We start from the raw sequence: 15,913 nt of genomic DNA, 5'->3' as shown, positions 1-15,913 counted from the left end.
GAAAAATTAACTTAAACATATATTACGAATATGTTAACTATGCTCAGTAATTAAAAAAAAACATGAACACAAAGAGAGGAATGAAAGATATTAAAAAGAAGTAAATGGAACTTTTAAAAATACCAAAAATTCAAAAATTCACTAAATTAAATTAACAGTATATTAAATACAAATAAAGAAGTCACTAAAATTGAAGATATAATAAATATAGCTGGAAAAATCCAAGCTGAAGCAAAGATAAAAGAGTGGGAAAATGATTAGTGCTTCACTGACTTGTGAGACCATATCAACTGGTCTAACATATGAATAACTGGGTATGTCAGAATGAGTTGGGATGAGAATTTTAAAAACATTTTGTATTAGTCTGTTCACTGCCAATAAAGATATAGCTGAGTTTGGGTAATTTATAAAGAAAAGAGCTTTAATGGACTCACTGTTCCACATGGCTGGGGAGGCCTCACAGTCATGGCAGAAGATGAGGAAAGAGTAAAGGGACTTCTTATGTGGTGGCGGGTAAGGGAGAGCTTGTGCAGAGGAACTCCCATTTATAAAACCATCAGGACTCATAAGACTTATTCACCACACTGAGAACAGCACAGGAAAGACTCCCCTCTATGGTTCAATTATCTCCCACTGGGGCCCTCCCATAATATGTGGGAATTACGGCAGCTACGATTCAAGATGAGATTGGGGTGGGGTCACAAACTATATCATTCTGCCCCTGGTCCCTCCCAAATCTTATGTCCTCACATTTCAAAACCAATTACACCTTCCTAACAGTCCCCAAAAGTCTTAACTCATTTCACTATTAACCCAAAAGTCCACAGTCCAAAGTTCCATCTTAGACAAGGCAAATCCCTTCTGCCTAGGAGCCTGTAAAATCAAAAGTAATTTAGTTAGTTACTTTCTAGATACAATGAGGGTATAGGCATTGGGAAAGTACACCCATTCCAAATAGAAGAAATCGGACAAAACAAAGGGGCTAAACGTTCAATGCAAGTCTGAAATCCAGAGCGGAAGTCAAATCTTAAAGCTCCAAAATGATCTTCATTGACTCCATGTCTCACATCCAGGTCACGCTGATGCAAGAGGTGGGTTCCGATGGTCTTAGGCAGCTCCTCCCCTGTGGCTTTGCAGGGTACAGCCCCCTCCTGGCTGCTTTCACGAGGGGGCATTGTCTGCAGCTTTTTCAGCTGCATGGTGAAAGCTGTCAATGGATCTACCATTCTGGGGCCTGCAGGATGGTAGCCCTCTTCTAACAGCTCCACTAGGTAGTACCCCAGTGGGAACTCTGTGGGTGCTTGTACCCCACATTTCCCTTCCTCACTGCCCTAGCAGAGGTTCTCCATGAGGGCTCCATCCCTGCAGCACCCCTCTGTCTGGACCTCCAGGTATTTCCATACATTTTTTGAAATCTAGGCAGAGGTTTGCAAACCTGAATTCTTGACTTCTGTGCACCCTCAGGCCCAATACCACATGTAACCCACCAAGGCTTGGGGCTTGCACTCTCTGAAGCAATGACCTGAGCTCTATGTTGGCCCCTTTAAGCCACATCTGGAACACAGAGCACCAAATCTTGAGACTGCATGAAGCAGCAAGGCCCTGGACCTGGCCCACAAAACCATTTTTTCCTCCTAGGTCTCCTGGCTTGTGATAGATAGGGCTGCTGTGAAGACCTCTAACATATCCTGGAGACATGTTTCCCATTGTCTTGGCAATTAACATTTGGCTCCTCATTACTTATGTAAATTTCTCCAGCTGACTTGAATTTCCCCTCAGAAAATGGTATTTTCTTTTCTATCTCATTGTCAGGCTGCAAATTTTCCAAACTCTTATGCTCTGCTTCTTCTTGAACGCTTTGCCACTAAGAAATTTCTTCTACTCAATGCTCTAAATCATCTCTCTCAAATTCAAATGTCCACAGATCTCTAGGGCAGGGGCACAATGTCACAAGTCTCTTTGCATAGCAAGAGTGAGCTTTACTCTAGATCTCAACAAGTTCCTCATTTCCATCTGAGACCACCTCAGCCTAGACCTTATTGTCCATATCAACATCAGCATTTTGGTCAAAGCCATTCCACAAGTCTCTAGGAAGTTCCAAACTTTCCACATCTTCCTGTCTTCTTCTGAGCCCTCCAAACTGTTCCAACTTCTGCCTGTTATCCAGTTCCAAAGTCGCTTTTACATTTTCAGGTACCTATACAGTAGTACTCCACTCAACCAGTACCAATTTACTGTATTAGTCTGTTCTCACATTGCTAATAAAGACATACCTGAGACTGGGTAATTTATAGAGAAAAGAGGTTTAATGGACTCACAGTTTCACATGGCCGGAAAGGCCTCACAATCACGGCAGAGATGAAGGAAGAGAAAAGGTACTTCTTTTTTTCTTTTTTGAGATGGAGTCTCACTGCATTGCCCAGGTTGGAGTACAATAGCACCATCTCAGCTAACTGCAATCTGCCTTCTGGGTTCAAGTAATTCTCGTGCCTCAGCCTTCCAAGTAGCTGCGACTATGGGCATGTGCCACCACGCCTGTCTAATTTTTGTATTTTTTTTTTTAGTAGAGATGGGGTTTCACCATGTTGGCCAGGCTGGTCTCGAACACCTGACCTCAAGTAATCCGCCCACCTTGGCCTCCCAAGTGGTTACAAGTGTAAGCCACCTCCCATGGTGGTTACAAGTGTAAGCCACCATGCCTGGCCCAACAAAGGGACTTCTTACATGGTGGCAGGCAAAAGATAGCCTGTGCAGGGGAACTCCCATTTGTAAAACCGTCAGATCTCCTGAGACTTATTCACTACCACGAGAATAGCATGGGAAAGACCCGCCCCCATGACTCAATTACCTCCCACCAGCTTCCATCCACGACACGTGGGAATTATAAGAGCTACAATTCAAGATGAGATTTGGGTGGAGTCACAGACAAAACATATCACATTTCTAAAACATTTCCAAATTTGATGAAAATGAAACCCACAGATCCAAAATGCTGTAAAGAACACTAAGCAAAACAAAGAATAAACCTGCTCAAATTACCTTGTCATAAAATTTCTCAAAAACACTGAAAAGAGAAAAGAAAGCAGCAGGGGAGGGGCCACCTTAAATGCTAAGAAACAAAGTGGTAAGATATGAATCCCTCTCTGGCTGCCCATGAATCATGGCTGATGTCTTTTGCACTGACATCCTCAGAGGAAGTGTCCTTCCAGATTGGGGAGCTTGTCCATGGAAATTGACTGGACTCCATGATGTGCCCTGCAGACACTGATGTAGCTCTGTCCATTACTGTCTCATAGATCTCAGCCTTACAGGTGGACAGAACATGAGTTACCATACCAGCAGCTGCAAATACTTGAGTCTTATTGGAGGTGAGGAAGCTGAAGTATGGGTAGGGCCAGTATTTTTTTGTTTTTTCCTTTTATTTCCAGCTGACACATAATTGTACATATTTATAGAATACAGAGTGGTATTTTGATACATGTACAAAATATGTATTTTCCATGTTCTTGATTCTGTGGCACCTAGGACTTTGTAGAGCCAGGGAGGGACTGCTTTTTACAGGGTTACTTCTTAGAGACAGTAAACAATTTGCTTGTGAGCAATCTGTGACACTGTCCCTCCGGTTTAGTCACCCCAGGATCAGGGCCTAACAACTAGGGACCAACCTATAGCTGAGACCTCACTGAATTATACAAGTTATTCAAACTATTTAATATTCAACTTGTTTAACTTGCTTACTTTTCTTCTCCCATTTTTTTCCCAGGAAAACCACAATAGTCACCCTCCAGTCCTCTTTCTGTCTGCCATTCTGTCTCTGTGCTTCCCTGAGTGGCCCTTAACAGCACGACATGCCTATTAGTTATTCACGACTGTGATGTGACTACCATAAAAGCATCTTCCTTCATGACCAACATTTTCATGTCTGTATGTCTTACCATACCTGATTAAACAAAATCCCAGGTATATCTTAAAACTGCTTCATAAGATGAATTGGGGCATATTCCTTCTGCCTCTGTTTTCTGAAAATATTTGTATGAGATGGGTGTAATTTCTTAAATGTTTGGTAGAAAACACCAGTGTACCCATCTGGGACTGGAGAATTGCTTATAGAAAGATTTTTAATTACAAATTCATTTATATATATAAATAATATATATATTTCAAATTATATATGTAAATATATATTTCAATTATATATATTTCAAATTATATATGTAAATATATATATTTCAATTATACATATATTTCAAATATATATTTGTTCAGATTTTCAATTTTGATCACTTCCAACATTTCTGCTAATGGTTATCTGTGTCTTTTCTTTTTGATCACTCCATCTAGAGTTTATTAATTGTATTGATCTTTAAAAATATAATTTAAAGCTGGGCACGGTGGCTCATGCCTGTAATCCCAGCACTTTGGGAGGCCGAGGCAGGAACATCACGAGGTGAGGAGATCAAGACCATCCTGGCCAACATGGTGAAACCTTATCTCTACTAAAAATACAAAAATTAGCTGGGCATGGTGGCACATGCCTGTAATCCCAGCTACTCGGGAGGCTGAGGCAGAAAAATCGCTTGAACCAGGGAGTCAGAGGTTGCAGCGAGTAGAGATTGTGCCACTGCACTCTAGCCTGGCGACGGAGTGAAACTCCATCAAAAAAAAAAAAAAAAAAAAAAAAAAAATATATATATATATATATATATATATATGTATATAATTTAGAGTTTCATTTATTTCTTCTGTTGTTTCTAGTTCATTATTTCTAGTCACATTTTCATAGTTCCTTCCTTCTACTTAATTTGGCTTAATTTACTCTTCTTTTCCTATTTTCATAACATACAACACAAGTTCAATTTTATATCTTTTTTTCTCATTGAGAAGAGCTATACCTGTTCTTTTAAGCACATTTTAGCTGTATTCACAAATATAAAGTGCATTTTATACTGAATTTTTATTCATTACAAAGTATTTTCTAACTTCCATTGTGAGTTCTTCTTTGACCCATGCATTATTCACATCCTTGTTTAATTTCCAAATGTTAGCAACTTTCCAGATGTATCTGTGCGATTGATTTTTTCATTAATTTCATTTTGGCCAAAGAACATATTCTGTATAACTTTAATCCTGTGAAATTTACTAAAACTTACTTTATGACTCAGTAGAAGGTCTTGTTTTTGTGTTGCAAGGTGCACTTGAGACAGTATGTGTTCTGTTGACATTGAGTGAAATATTTTATAAATGTCAATCAGGTCAAATTGTATAATAATGTTAAGTCTTCTGTATTTTTACTTATTTTCTTTTTGTTGCGTCAGCTTACGAGAGAGGAATGTTTATTTTCCAAGTATAATGTAAATTTGTCTATTTGCTCTTTGAGTTCTGGAAGATTTTGCTGGATATATTTTGCTTTGTTGTTGGGTGTATATATTTATGATTATTATGCCTTTGTGATAAACTGACCTTTTTATTATACGTGTTCATCTGTATACCTGATAATATGATTTATTCTGGACTATTATATGTTCTAGTAATATACTCATTTCACATTTTTTAAGATTCATGTTTGCACACTATTATTCAATCCTTTTATTTTTAACCTATAATTGTTCATATAGGCATACCTCATTTATTGTGCTTCACTTTATTGTGCCTAGCAGATATTGTTTTTGTTACAAATTGAAGGTCTGTGGGAACCTTGCATCAAGTAAGTCTATCAACACCATTTTCCCAAGAGCATGTGCTCACCTCTTGTCTCTGTGTCACATTCTGATAATTCTCACAATATTTCAAACTTCTTCATTATATTAGTTATGGTGACCTGCAATCAATGATCTTTCATAATACTGTTATAAATGTTTTCAGGTGCCATGAACCATACCCACTTAAGATGATGAATTTAATCAATAAATGTATGTGTTGACTGCCCTACTGACCAGCCATTCCTCAATCTCACTCCCTCTTTTCACAACCTTCCTATTAACTGAGAGAAAACAATATTGAAATTAGACCAATTAATATCCCTACAATGGTTTCTAAGTATTCACATGAAATAAAAAGCTAATGACTCACTTTAAATCAAAAATAAAAAAAATTATTAATCTTAGTGAGGAAGGCATTGTGAAAGATTACAAAGGTCAAAAGCTATGCCTCTTGCACCAAAGAATAAGCCAAGTTGTGAATGCAAAGGTTTTAAAGGAAATTAAAAGTGCTACTTCGGTGAAGACACAAATGATAAGAAAGTGAACCAGTCTTATTGCTGATACAGAAAAGGTTTTAGTGGTCTGGATAGAAGACCAAACAAGCAACAATATTCCTTTACACCAAAGCCTATCCAGAGCAAGGTCCTAACTCATCAATTCTAAGAAAGCTAAGAGAGGTGAGGTAGCTGCAAAAGAAAAGTTAAAAGGTAGTAGAGGATGATTCATGAGGTTTAAGGAAAGGAGCTGCCTTCATAACATAAAATATCATAAAGATAGTGAAAGTAGGCATCCAAACATGTTATAGGTAGAGTCAGAGGACAGTAAACAACCTAAGCAGCCAAAAACGTCACTACATGCACCATCATATGCTTTGATCAGACTCACAATGTGTTTACCCTCCTTATCCAGGGTCATTTGAACCTTATGATAAATCTTATTTGAAGATTTTAATAAATAGTCTCTCTTCTGGCCAATTTATCTCCATAGGTATAACATCCTGAGAAGGGTATAAATCAAATGCAAGGAATGCCTGGTCCTCAGTGTCTAAATTGTTATAAACTTGTTAACAGTAGACAAATCTATTTTTCCTACCATTTTTGTATTGCACCATATACTGACTGGTATTTGGGAGAGAAGAGGAAGTTTTGTCACAGGAGAAGTCAAATAATTCTACAGTGGTTTTTTGTGTTTTTGTTGTTGTTGTTGTTGTTGTTGTTTTTGTCCCTTGGCAGGACTCCCTATGGCCAAGGGCCTTAAGAGACAAAGGACATATAGCCAATTAATTGTTCTAAGCCATATAGGAATGGATGTGGACAGGCACTTGTTACTTCGTAAAATTATTATTTTAAGTAAAAAAGCCAACAACAAAACAAAACAAAACAAAAGTTAAAAGACGGACTTATTTTTAACTTCTATGTGTTGAGCTACTGTGAGCTTGGTTTTTGTTACAGACTTGTAACAGTTAGCCTTATATACCAAACATAAGCATTCTTCTGAAAAATATAGTTACATAGATAGATAGATAGATAGATAGATAGATAGATCGATCGATCTTCACAACTCATGATTGGTAGTATTATACCCAGGAGGCTTTGTTACAAAATATTTTTATCCTGTTAGTAAAGAATTTCCTTTAATTCTATAGTAAGCAGAAAATTTTTATGGTTGGGGTGGATGCAAAAGTGACACATAATAGCTTAGAAGGCAACTAAACTTGTTTTACCTGCTGTTTAGGCATTTTTGTACCCCCTTTCTTGATTTGGAGGGTTTGACCTTAAGCTAATTTTTTCCCTGAAAGCCGGTCCTTACAATCTTATGCACCCACCTCTTCTGCAATAGTCCAGGCAGCTTGTATAGTTTTGGCAGCAGAACATTAGCAGTGAAACAGGTCCAGGCCCAGTGGGATGCCAAACGAGGGAGATTCATACCTCTGGTTTTCAAAATACCATGATTTTGGTTTCCTTGGATGTAAAACAAGGAGAGATAATTAACATTTATAGTTTGACAATTATAGGAGTAATTCATAGATCAGAATAGAAAAAGGAACCTATTACATTAGGGTACCAACTAAAAATATGAAGAAAAATTATAACTTGGTGCTTTCTAGAGGATTCTTGTAGCCAAGAAATAATGATTTAATCTGTACTCAAAAAGTTAGGGCTGAAATCTAGTATTAAGTGTTACGCTTTACCCTTGAAACATTTTTTCTAGCTGCCCTTTTTATTAAACAAAAAGTTATAGCAAGGCCAATTTGCGTGCAAGGTAAGTTTTAGGCTTATTATGCTTGCCTGAATAGCTGCATAAAATGCAGCAAGAATTGATTGGCCATATAGACTCCTTTCGAGTTGGTTTTGCTGAAAGTTTACCTAAAAATAGAATATTTTAGTTTCAGTCTTGGTAAAATAACCAGTGTCTCCAATTGTTTGAAGAAAAAAAAAACTATAATTGAACTTAGGCAGACAACTATATTGTCATAAAATTCAATCTGAATTTTGGAGGACTCAGAAAGGTAAGTTTGCTTACAAAAATGTACTTTATCCAAATAACTTAAAAGATTTTTTTTTTTTTGACCCTTCTTTAACCAGAGCCGCAGCTTTTAAAACAAGTGTTTGTTTACCTGGGAAATGCCATTTACAAACCAAACAGCTAATGAGAACTATTAGGCACTGTAGAATTTAGCAGCTCCTCACAATTAGTCCTAGAAAAGAGGCTCTCTGCTTATTAAGTAGCAAGATTTTGTGTAAGCCATTTTTATTTTATCATAGGACTCTTTTGGGAAACATAATTTCCATTAGCATAGGGGTAGCTTCAGTTAATATCTCATAGCAAGGCAGTAAATGCCCTATCAAGTAGAAATTCTCTAGTTCGGTCATTGTCATTGAAAGGTACTCACAGTTTTTTCCATCAGCCCCGATAAAAGCTCCACATAAAGGGCTATGCAGCAAAGGAAAGCTTTACCCTATATTTTGTGGGCTTTTACTAGTTCCTATTTAGTGTGTTTAAATAACATTTTTAAATAAATAAATTTAATAAATGTTTAAATAACATTTCCTAAAGAGCCGATTTATATGTCTTCAGTTTTTATAGTACTAGAAAAGAGAAAAACAACCCCCAGTTAGATACAGTACCCATTTTCATAAGACTTTTTGGTAAAAGGGGGTTACAACTACCTTACATAAAGCTTGTTTAAACATCTTAAATTTTATAATTCTATTAAACTGTATGTTTTTATGTTCAGGTCTCAGGAACCCTTTTTTACCCCCAGACCATTTTACCTTTTCTGGTGAAAAGGATTTGGTTTCCCAGCAGGGAGTTACATCTATAAGACCTATGAGGGACCGCAGATTTGATAAGTCTACTTAAATAGTCCTGTCATTCTGTCAGAGGAGCACCCACGTAAAGGGGGTCCCCTAACCCCCAAATTTACCATGACCTAGGTAATATGCATATTTGGCAGGAGGATATCCCAGTTATAAAGCTAGTCCAACATGGCTTGCATATGAAACATATTAACTGCTTCATCTGGTGTACTTCACTTGGTATTTTATAGGAAGAGTGGGGCAGTCAACCCTTCTCAGGGCAAAGAGAACTTACAATGGCATTATCTGGCCCACTAGGCAGGAATAAACATGAAACTACTTGATCAATAAATGCAAACAAAATGCTAACATTGTTGATATTATTTTACCAATAGTTTTAAAGCCATCTTATTTATTAAAGATTTTACTTAAGTCATGTGAACCTGAAAAAATATTTGACTAGTCTTTTCTTTTTTAAGTCTCTGATTTAAGCACTTTTACCTATTTTTTTAGCCAATTAATTGGAACTCTTTACATATATATATTTTAGCAGTGAAACACTGCATAACATAAATACATGGACATATCTAGGCATGCCGATAGAGGTACATTTTATAGATTCATAAAGACTTCCTTTTCCTTTTTTTTTTTTTCAATTTTAGATTTTCAAATTCTCGATAACATGTTGCACCACCCTAAGCAGTTTTCAGCTAAATAGACATAAATTTGCATATTAAAGGAAACAACCCAGGTGACAATCAGATAGCAAAATTTACGTAATAAGGTACAAAAAGAAAAAGTTTGGTACGCTAAAGGAAAATTAAAATGAATGTAACTTCCAATTAAACATAAAATTATAGAATTTATGAAGGCCTTCAAATACATACACACATATATACATACATATACGTACACACACAAAGATCCTATAGATTTACTTTAGTACTTTGGCCATGAGATGAATATAAATTTGCCGGTTTGCAAAAAAACGGTTAGATCCAAACAGTGGTTTTTTATCTCAGTATGAAAGTAACACCAGATTTAAAGCAGGCAGAAAATAGAGAAAGAGAACTTAGGAACTCTATAGTTTGCAGGTCGACCTTAGGCACCTTTTTCCTTAAAGTAAAATGTACACAAAGACTATATTACTTCCATTTTCCATAAACTCTGGAAAGTAGAGGTGCCACAAAACCTACGGTGTGCTCAAAAGGGGGTCATTCTCCTTGTTTTTTTTTCCATATTCTTAGTTAATTTCTTTCCTACTTTTTTTTTTTTTTTGAGACGGAGTCTTGCTCTGTCGCCCAGGCTGGAGCACAGTGGCGCGATCTCGGCTCACTGCAAGCTCCGCCTCCCGGGTTCACGCCATTCTCCCGCCTCAGCCTCGCAACTAGCTGGGACTACAGGCACCCGCCATGACGCCCGGCTAATTTTTTGTATTTTTAGTAGAGACGGGGTTTCACCGTGTTAGCCAGGATGGTCTCGATCTCCTGACCTCGTGATCCACAAGCCTCGGCCTCCCAAAGAGCTGGGATTACAGGCGTGAGCCACCGCGCCCGGCCCCTACTTTTTTTTTTTTTTTTTTTTTTAAAGGAGGAACTGATGAGTCGTGGATGAAAATGACAGTTCAGTTCCTCACTCAAATATGCACAAACAAGCCAAATTGAGATTAATTCTGAGAGAAAAGCAATTGAGGAGACCCTTTAGAAATGCATCTTTGAACTCGAATTGGGATCCTAAAGCAACAAATTCCTAGGAGAATAAAACAGCTCAGAATACATCAAGGACTATCAACCAAAACAGGAGGTCCGAGGCTCAGGAGGACTTACCAGTTCCACAGGAGGAGAAGCCCAAACTCGGTGAGGCTTCAGTGGGCTCCAGCTGGTACCTTAGCTCTGGTTTTGGGATACTCCTTCCGGATCCAGAGTCTTCTCTGAGGCCCCACGTGTTTGGGCGCCATATTATTGTCGACAAAAAGAGTGGAACTCTGTAAAATATTTGAAGAGATTTATTCTGAGCCAAATATGAGTGACCATGGCCCGTGACACAGCCCTCAGCAAGTCCTGAGAACCCGAGGTGGTTCAGCGCAGCTTGGTTTTATGCATTTTAGAGAGCATGAGACATCAATCAAATACATTTAAGAAGTACATTGGTTTGGTCCAGAAAGGCAGAACAACTCAAAGCAGGAGCTTCCAGGCTATAGGTAAATTTAAACATTTTTCTGGTTGACAATTGGTTGAGTTTGTCTGAAGACCTGGGATAGATAGAAAGGGAATGTTCAGGTTCAGATAAAGATTGTGGAGACCAAAGTTCTTTTGAAGTCTTATAGTGGCTGCCCTTAGAGGCAACAGGTGCCCAATGTTTCCTATTCAGCTCTTAGTTAATCTCTTTAGGATTGGGAGGGTCTGGAAGAAAAAAATCTAGGTATGTTAATAGAGATTCTTTACAGCTGCACATTTTCCCCCACAAAGAAACGCTTTGGAGGGTCATTTCAAAATATGGCAAAGAAACATGTTTTTGGGTAACATATTTTAATTTTCTTCTTTGTCTTGTAATGTTATGCCAGAGTTAGGTTGGAAAGTAAATCATGATATACGGGGTTAAATAAAATCCATCTGATGAGAATTTATGATTTGTAGGGCATGACTCCCCAGACCCCTTAGATAGGGATTTGGGCAAGATAAAAAAATTAAGAGTTCAGTCCTCATTTCCATACATGTAAAATATAAATAAGTTATTCCATTTTTAGGTAGTCAAGACAAAAAAAACTTCACACAAATAACTGCACACAAATATTCACGGAGCTTTGTTCATAATGGCCTGAAAAGACTCAAAGGAGCCCATACATCCATGAATAGGTAAATTGACATTTTGGGGGTTTTGGGGGGTTGTTGTTATTGTTTGTTTGTTTTGAGATGGGGTCTCACTCCATTGCCCGGGCTGGAGTGCAGTGGTGCAATCATGGTTCACTCCAGCCTCGACTTCCTTGGGCTCATGTGTTTCTCCACCCTCAGCCTCCCCAGTCACTGGGACTACAGGCACACACCACCGTGCTCAGCTATTTTTTGTATTTTTTGTAGAGATGAGGTCTCTCCATTCGACTTCCTTGGGCTCATGTGTTTCTCCACCCTCAGCCTCCCCAGTCACTGAGACTACAGGCACACACCACTGTGCTCAGCTATTTTTTGTTATGTTTTGTAGAGATGGGGTCTCCCCATGTTGCCCAGGCTGGTCTCAACCTCCTGGGCTTGAGTGATCCTACGTCTTCAGCCTCCTGAATAGCTGATACTACAGGCAAGAGCCACTGTGCCCCCTGGTAAATTAACTTTTTAAATGTAGCATACTTATAACAATGTAATATTAAGAAGCAGACACAGTAACACTGATGAATTTCAGAAACTTTATGTAGAAGGAGCAGAGCCAGACAAAAGAAGCACTTACGATATATTTCCATTTCTATGAAATTTTAGAAAGTGTGTAGTTAATTAATAGAGACAGAAAGCAAATCAATATTTGTCGTGGGCTAGAGGTCAATGGGGGATTGTTTGGAAAGTGGCACAAGGAAAACTTTTAGAGTAATGGAAATGTTGTATACCTTCTTATGGTGTTTACAAGAGCACATATAATTGTCAAAAACTCAACTAATATCCAAGACAATTTGCACCTGACAGAGTTAAACAGCAACAAAAGACTTTATTTAAGACCACTGTAATAAGGCACAGAAAGAGGGCTCAATGCCACTGAAAAAAAAAGCAGGAGAGATTTTAAGCACAGAAGTCCCTAAGTGGAAAAGTACTGTATGTTGGTCAATAGGGTTAGACCATCTGTGTTTGCTGATTGGTGCTTAGGGAAGTCAGGCTCCTACTCTCCCACAGAGATTAGGAGATAAAAAAAGGTTCTACCTTTCTTAATTATTGAATTTCAAAGAGATGACACCCAGGTTTTTGAGAAAGATGGTTCTGCATTGTAGAACTGATAAGAGGCCAGAAGATTTACATCTTAAAGGAGCAGAGAAAATGTACACTTTGCAAGTTTTTTTTAAAGTGAATGGTCTAAAAATAGGGAGGTCAGAGGCCAACAATCAGGAAGAACCCTGTCTAAAGGTTAGTCAGGCAGCAGGAAACATTAGGCCATCTTGGTCAGTGACTGTATCTGCACTGTTTTTTTCTATACGTAATACCCATGATAAAGTTTAATTTATAAATTAGGTGCAGTAACAGATTAACAACTAATAATAAAACAATTATAACAATATGCCATTATCACTAATTTTGCACTTTGGGTCATTAATATGTAAAATAAGGGTTATTTGAACACCAGCACTGTAATACCAACAGTTAATGTGACAACTGAGATAGCTACTAAGTGACTAATGGGCGGGGTGGCTTAGACACTGTGGATACGCTGTACAAAGGGATGATTCACATCATTCACATCCTGTGTGTGATGGATTAGGACAGCCTAAGATTTGATCAGATACTTAGAAGGCAAGCAATTTATAATTTACAAATTATTTCTGGAATTTTCCATTTAATATTTTTGGACCTCAGTTGACCATGCAGTTGACAATACATGTGCAAAACATATATTGTATATTTCATTTATGTAAAACTTACAGATTATAGTGATATTAATGTTGAATAAATAAACTGAAACTTTATCAAAACCAGGAATGGAAGGCACTACTGTACACCTAAAGTAGATGTGTTAATTGTATTTTATATCTCAATAATGTTTATTAAAAATAAAAATCAATAAACCATGGAAAGTGTTGGGGAAATAATTATGTCATGGAAAGTGTTTTGATAATAATTAAAAACAAAATCTGCCAATGCAGGAAACTCTCCACAAATGCAGAAAAGAAACAGTTTTATCATTGAATAAGCATTAAATCGATTGTGATTTCTATCAGAAGCAATCTACTAAAGAGTTTGCAATGAAAACATTCTTCACCATTTTTATATAGCCTGTCAGATACAGTCCACTACACACATGTTAATTGTTTTTATCTAAAAGAAATCTAAAGGAAAGAATAACACTTGTATCTCTTGACAAGCAGAAAGCTCCATCTTGAAGCCAAGTGCCTAGACAGTAAACTACCATGAAGACGGGGAGACAGGTGCCACTCTGGGATGTTTTCATTTCTAAGAGAAAGCCAATAGGCCTCCAAAGATATTCTGAGGATACAAAACTGGCAAGAGGCTTATTTAGGTTCTTTCTTTCTGATGCAAAACTGGCAAGAGGCTTATTTAGCCTCCCCTGCCCTCCCCTCCCCTCCCCTCCCCTCCTCTCTTTCTTTTCTTTCGACGCAATCTCTCTCTGTTGTGCAGGCTGGAGTGCAGTGGCGCGAGCTCGGCTCACTGCAACCTCCGCCTCCCGGGTTCAAACGATTCTCCCTGCTCAGCCTCCGGAGTAGCTGGGATTACAGGCGCCCACCACCATGCCTGGCGAAGTTTTGTATTTTTAATAGAGAAAGGGTTTCCCCACGTTGGTCAGGCTGGTCTTAAACTCCTGACCTCAGGTGATCCACCCACCTTGGCCTCCAAAAGTACAGGAGTAAGCCACCATGCCTGGCCTTTTTTTTTTTTTCATACATTTCAGTGAGACAGAGATAGCGCTTACAATTTCACGTTTTCTAAACACAATGCTAAAGAGGAGGTGGGTAGTTATCTTTCTCTTTTTGCAACAGAGAACCTTCACTTTTTCTTTATATATTTTTATTTACCCTTAGAAACGGCCCATGCAATCGAATAATAGTATTAAAAAAGCATCATCCCCTATTATTTAAGGAATAAACTACTGTTTCATTCAATAACATGGAAGAATTTAGAAAATATTATGGCTTTTGCAAAACATATTGTATATTTCATTTATGTAAAACTTAAAGACTATAGTGATATTAACATTTATGCAAAACTTAAAGACTAAAGTGATATTAAACAAATTAATAGTTTCCTGGATCTAGGTATAGGATAAAGTATTGAATGGGATTGGGTACAATAGAAGGTTTTTGGGTGATGGAAAACTTACATATCTTGAATGTGGTGATCACATGTTTGTTAAAACTCAGTGAACTCTACAATCAAAATAAGTGCATAATATTATATGTAAATTATACATCTATAAAAAATTAACCAGCAAGTATATCAAAAAGCCGACAATGGTTTCTGAGACGCTGTCACTATACATCCTACCTTTTTGTAATGTTTGAAAATTTTTACATAAGCAGAAATAACTAATAGAATGCAAAAATAAAATAAAATAAAATAAAAGCATTTGTGTGGAGACGAGATCAGTAACTTTAGTATCACCTGTGGGTTTACTGGAAATGAATCTCAGGTCCCACCTTATACTTACTAAATCAGCAAGTAAATTTTAACTAGTTGCCCAGCTGATTCTCATACTTATTAAAATTTGAGGAGAATCATTAAAACATTTCTCAGTAGATGAAACTTTATTATTTCTCTCGGAAGGATAAATGACTTCTAAATACCAGAAACTAGTGGAAATGTCAACTAATGCCACATTTATGACGCTAGATTCATCGTCATAATAATGGATTTTATATTCTGCCCTCTGTTCTGGAATAGCACTGTCACTAAGAAGGGAGAAAAGGGTGCTGATGTTTACTTGGAATTTTGGCTTTAATTTCTAGGACACCAGAGTCCCATCTCATAAAAAAAGGTAGCATGAACTACCCAGAGCTGTACCACTCATTCATTTATAAATGGTAAGGCAAGGTTAGCAGGAAGAGCTTTGGAACCGTAGCGAAGCTTTTCCATCCCTTCCCTGCATTGCTACCCACAGCAGGTGTTTCCTGGAACCTAGGCTTTGGCCACAAGCCCAGCGGTCGCGGGGCGGGGGTAGGCGGAGCTGTGGGTGAGGAAGGGGCAATGCCTTAAGGGGGCGCAGCTGAGC

The 15,913-nt window shown here is 37.8% G+C and overlaps 1 long non-coding RNA gene across 6 annotated transcripts in view; it reads right to left on the bottom strand.

Annotated features, from left to right (window-relative positions):
* Positions 1 to 15,913, bottom strand: part of LINC02718 (long intergenic non-protein coding RNA 2718) — a 376,384-nt gene that overhangs the window by 359,909 nt on the left and 562 nt on the right. For all 6 annotated transcript variants that reach the window (NR_187208.1, NR_187205.1, NR_187209.1 and 3 more), the window contains exons 2-3: positions 10,825 to 10,982; positions 7,525 to 7,660 (exon numbers count right to left, since the gene is read on the bottom strand). This is a non-coding gene — a long non-coding RNA (long intergenic non-protein coding RNA 2718). The remainder of the gene's footprint in view (positions 1 to 7,524; positions 7,661 to 10,824; positions 10,983 to 15,913) is intronic.

The sequence above is a fragment of the Homo sapiens genome, chromosome 11 (assembly GCF_000001405.40).
Source record: "Homo sapiens chromosome 11, GRCh38.p14 Primary Assembly".
Classification (NCBI taxonomy): Eukaryota; Metazoa; Chordata; class Mammalia; order Primates; family Hominidae; genus Homo; species Homo sapiens.
This window is presented reverse-complemented; position numbering and strand designations above follow the sequence as displayed.